The sequence below is a fragment of the Homo sapiens genome, chromosome 2, assembly GCF_000001405.40.
Source record: "Homo sapiens chromosome 2, GRCh38.p14 Primary Assembly".
NCBI lineage: Eukaryota > Metazoa > Chordata > Mammalia > Primates > Hominidae > Homo > Homo sapiens.
Window position 1 is genome coordinate 75,894,539 of NC_000002.12, and position 5,607 is coordinate 75,900,145.

Consider the following 5,607-nt stretch of genomic DNA (forward strand, 5'->3'; position numbering starts at 1 on the left):
CTTTTAAACATTTTAGTTAGCCTATTTGCCCCAACAGTTATTCACCACCTCAGGCAGCCATAAAATTAAGCAATTAATGAAATTTTTTTCAACAAATGCCCCCAGGGAAAAGACTTTTCACACTGGGTGAGCTCTGAGCCAAGTCAAATAGACATTGATGTCTTTTCTTGGGAACCACCAGATAGGTCAAATAATGCCAATTCTCTGTGAAAAAGGCTTTGAAGGAGCAATAACCTTATTCTACACTGTCAAGTAGCTGCCAGGCGCTGTATGTTTTCAAGGCTACTCCAGAACTGGAGAAATAGGGATGAGACTAGGACAAGTAAAAATGCCAGAAAATTGACTGTTCTTCCCAAGATTCAGCCATATTTCTTGAATAAACGCTCTGTGGATTGCTGCAAGCCTTTGATTAATTTCCAGAGTCCTGAAAAAAAGTTGATCTTGACAATTTTTGCTAGTTTTCTTGTTGCTTTTATGGATAAGAGAGTTTTTGAAGGTCCTTACTCTGCCATTTTCACAGACGTTTCCCCTCAATTTCTGATCAGTGATTCAGTAGGTAGACCTTGGGCTTATTAGCTTGAAAATATTTATAAAGCAAGTTTTTTTTTTGGTCAAATATTAGTTACTGTCTCAAAAAAGGTCAGACATGAAAAAAACCCAGAAGTGTTTTAGTACATTTAAACCTTTATATATCCATTGAAGTACATGAAATTACTATATTTGTAGATCAAAAAGGGTATAATATTGGTGATTTCTCATTGCTTAACCCAATATTTTCTAAAGTCTTAGTTTCTCATTCTATTTTTTCCCTTTGCAAAGAACAATCTATTAAGAAAACTTCCAGGAAGTATAAATGGATCCCATATAGCCCCATTAAATTATTTCAAAAGCACAATAAGAAATATGCATTTTAACTGTCATTGTGTAGAGAAGAGCATTTATTTAGCAGTGGTTAAGCACTCTCTGTGTACAGTCACAAAATATGGTAATTTCCACAGGAGCATACATTTAACTCCGCAGACAGATACAGCAATCAAACAAGGGATAAATGATTTTTTTAAAAAAGGACGACTGAGTGAATCCACTAGGTGATAGATTAATAATAAGGGGTTATAAAAGGCCTCATAGAGATTGTGAAATTTCAATCAGATCTTAAAGGATAATATATGGTTTCTTGGACAAGGAAAGTGAAGACATGCAGAAAGGATGGCAGGTGAAAAGTCACAGAATTGTGAGAGGTTTTGATGACTTTTATAAGACAGAGGTAGGTGGGGTATAGCATGCAATTTTCTCCTGTGTTTTATTTTTGTACAAATTGGTATTTTTACTTTCTAGCAGCAAAATGTGTACGTTTTATTTTAGAATATGTTTTAAAAGGCTTGGGCAGACTGCCTTTTATGAACAGAAATTGTTATATATTAGCTCAGGATTGCCTGCATGCTGGTTTGTTCTACCACAAAGGCTGCCAATAATAATGAGAGGGAAAAACCCTGGAGGAAGAGTGCATTTAATTTTTATTGATCATCTTATATCTTAAGAGTTTCATCAAGCAAAGTGACAACATACATAGAACCTGCACCAAAAAGTCTTAGCTGAGTGAGCAAGAATGAATCAGCACAGTGAATAAAACATTATTTTTCTTTTCTTGGCCTGCTACCTCAAGGTCATTGTTAAAAAACAGAAGAGTTCTAGAGTAGTTGTTGTTAAACCTGGCCGCACATTAGAAACATCTGGAGGTATTTTTGAGACTACAGATTCTTAGTCTACATTCCATCCAGACCTGGTGAATCAGAATGTCAAGGTTTTTTGTTTGTTTGTTTGTTTCTTATTTGTCTTAGACAAATCCGGTTGTTCTCATACTTAGCAGATTTGGGGACAAGTGTCTAAGAAGGGTTTGCCTTGCTCCACAACTGTCCAACTGTGTTGCTTGTTTCAAGCCAACTTAATCAATATGACTAAGAATAAATTAATATTATTTTATTAAAAAATATTATACTGTATCAGAGCTATTTTCTTAATCAGTTTGAAAAGGCACAGAAGAAGGAAATGTAAAGAGTTAATAAATCAGGAATGAGAAAAAGCCATGAATAAAATATTTTCTACAGAAATCGGTCTCTCAAAAATCTGTAAATTTATGGTGATTGTGTTTAACAATCATGACTCAATAATGAAATCAGCCATAAAACTTTGACTGTCTACAAGATTAACAAAACATACATTTGTTTTGACTCTCAGCATATTACCATTTTATTGTATAGGCTAAAGTCAGGGGAGGAATAATCAGGAATAGGTATTTTTTCCCATCATTGCCTTCAGACATTCTCTGATAGATTTCCCTTCTCTTTGAGACTGGAGGCAAATGTTTGGAGCTACAGACTTCAAGACCTCATTAGCAGACGGGGCCAGTTGTCTCTCTCTGGTTACCAGTAGAGGGAGTGTCAGCCCCTGATCTTGGCAGCAGAGACCCAGGTAGGAAACAGGACGCTAAGTGCATTGGTGAGTTCCTCTTTCTACCATCCTCCTCTCTGCCATGAGAACTTTGGAATTTCCGTCTTTTATTCAGCAACCATCTTGGGGAGAAGAAATGAAAGAGTAAAATCTGAAATACTGAACATTTCATGACTACAAAACTACACTTGATTCCAGGTTATATTAATGAAAACACAAAGGTGTGTTGGGGTTGGAGGGAGGAGTGAGAAGTAGAGAGTAAAGGAAACGTATGTATTAAAGTATATTTTTTCCTCTGATGGGGATTACTCATTTATTTCATTATTTTCCTATTAAAATGTACAAACGTTCTAAGCTTATTAGAGATAATTTTAGAAATACAGTGTAACCTAGACCTGTACATGCATGCACACATGTGCGCGCGCACACGCACACACACACACACTCATGCAAGATTTATTACAGACAACAGATACAAAGCAACGGGTAAGAAAGTAGGTTCACATTGTCCACACACAGATTCCAGAGTCCTTTCTCAGTCATAAGGTTGTGCTTTATTTCCAGCAAGTGAGCCAGCAGGGGAAGCCGCAGCTCATTCAGTAGGTGTCTTTCAGCTGTACACATAGCTAAAACCAGGCTGTGAGACCATGTTCAATAGCAGAAACCAAGATAACATAACAGACACCCAGATATAAACCACTCATTGGTACACATTCTATAAGGAATATTGGAAAGATGTTACAGACTTCCCACTTGATGTCTTTTGGAAAACTACATTAGCACAAAAAACTACATTAATTCCTATGTAGTATATTCCATTGTGGTTTTGCCAAGGATTACTACTATGGCTCCAGGCATCCCTGGAAATATATGGAGGATTTCAGTACACTAGTGAGAGTTACAATGAAATTTCACACTGTGGATTAGTGTTTTTCATCAGGCTCAGAAAATTCTAAATCATTATCTATTCACATATTGCTTCTTGTTCATTTTCTGTTTTCTGAAACTCCAGTTTTGTATGTTAGACCTTTCCACTATGTCCCATATATTTATTATCTTCTTTTCTGCACCTTTGTCTCTGCACTTTAGCTTGGTGATTATATATTTAAAAAAGGATGAGTGAATTAATGACCACTGGGAGACAGAGATGATAGTAATTTAATAATTAATTATTTATGATCATTATTAATTTAAATTATAAATGATAAATAATTACTATCACATATTTGTATCTTTCATCTTCTCTGGTGGGTCTGATCTGCCATTATAACCATCTATTAAATTCTCAATTTTATTTTTTACTTATGAAAGTTTAATTTTATTTTCAATTGAAATTTCTGATCTTGTCAACCCTTCTCCATTACTGAACATATTAGTTGTAATTACTTTTAAGTACCTATTTGTTATCCTGATAATTAAATGAATTTGTAGTCATCCATGAATTTGTTTCTATTCTCTGTTTTTTTTTTCTGTACTTGTAATTTTTGGTCGAATTTCAGACATTGCATATGAAAAACTGTAGAGGTCCTGAATGATATCTTCCTCCTGAGAGAGTTCTTATAGGCAGATAGAGAGGGGGCAGGTGTCAATCCAGTCAGGTAAAGAACTGACTCAAGGTTGAGCTGCAACTACATCTCCATTCATTTCCAGTATGCTTCTAGTCTTAATCTCTAGCCCTCCAGGAATTCTAGTTTTGTATCTCCTCCTCGATGGGTTCTGATCTCCAGTTTTTATCTCCTCAGATCTGTGATGAGAGTTTGAACATTTTCTCTACACTTCAAGAACTTTCTTCTTAGCTTCTTTCCCTGTTAATTTTAAGAATTCTGCTAGTGTTGGAAGAGAAAACCACCAAGTGTCCCATTGACTACTTAATAATTTCCTTTTCATCAGAATCTTGGTCTCTGAAGTCTTGGCTGTCCTGACATGACTCCAATTTTTGCTCTTCAGTTATGTGAAATTAACAAAAGTTCTGGAAAATTTTGTATGCCCTATAGACACAGCCCTATTCCTGCGTTCTTCAGTTGTTTGCTACCAAGAATCTGCAAAGTTAGGAAAAAACAAAAATAGAAACCAAAACAACAACCAGTTTATATAATGTCCATACAATCTCTATGGTTCCCTTTTGTTTCTGATTTTTGGCTTCTTATGACCAGATTTTCTTAACAGCTTTCTGATATTTTGAAACAGATTTTTTTTAACAGTAAAAAATTTTATCCAGCTTTTCTCAGTAGAAACATGGGTTTGCCTCATGAAACTCCATCATAGTGAGAAGCAGAAATCAATTCAGTGTTTTCTCTATATTTTTCTCATTTACTAGCTATAGGTTGGAATTTGTGGGGAGAAATAAGAGAATTGCTAGGTAGAATTTAGACTAAATAAAGAAATTTCATGTTTCTCTGCCTCAAAGTTGGAGTGCTATATGAATTTATTTTTCACTAAACATAATTGCTGTGTGGTACAATGTGAAAATTTCTTATAATGTGATAGGTAATAAGTAAAAATTGGATAATATACAACCCTTTAAAGAAGGAAAATAGCTCATAGATCACCACCACTCAGAAATATCTACTATTAACATGTTTGTATATATCCTTACATTGTTTTTGCTTTGCAGGTGTTTTTACATTGTTGAAAGTATACCCTAACTACTTATTTTAAAACATGTTTGATAAGGACAAATTAATAGTTTTTCAATGGAAAAAGAGATGAAATGTTGCTGGGTAAATATTATTAGTAATTTTTCCATTAAAATATCCATAGTGAATCAGGACATTCAATAAAGACTTTTAAATAGGCAGAAATACACAAATATTTTTGTTATAAAAATGGCCATTATTTTCCATCTTTTATTCTGTGGAGTAAGAGGAAAAAACCAACAACTTTGCATTTAGTGATTCTTTTAGAATTGAAAAGAAGGTGACTGTTTCAGAGTCGTCACAGTAACAAGTACTCTGATCAAGCATGGTGTTCCTGAATTGTGGGCTTATAGCTGTACCTAAGGAAAACTATTGTCTAATATTTGTAAGGAGGAAAGCACAACTACATAAGAAAACAATGGCAAAATTTTAGCTTTGACTTAAAATTCAGTAAATAAATATATGTTAAAAAAACTATTTAAATAAAGCCTTAAGAGTAAAAAGCATTCAAATTTAATATTAG

At 34.2% G+C, this 5,607-nt stretch overlaps 1 annotated feature.

The window, feature by feature from the left end:
* Positions 2,400-2,469: a silencer, noted in NCBI's record as "silent region_11684". NCBI's record gives its function as "represses an Ori minimal core promoter by ATAC-STARR-seq in GM12878 lymphoblastoid cells {active_cell/tissue: GM12878}" and the evidence as "EXISTENCE:reporter gene assay evidence [ECO:0000049][PMID:35858748]".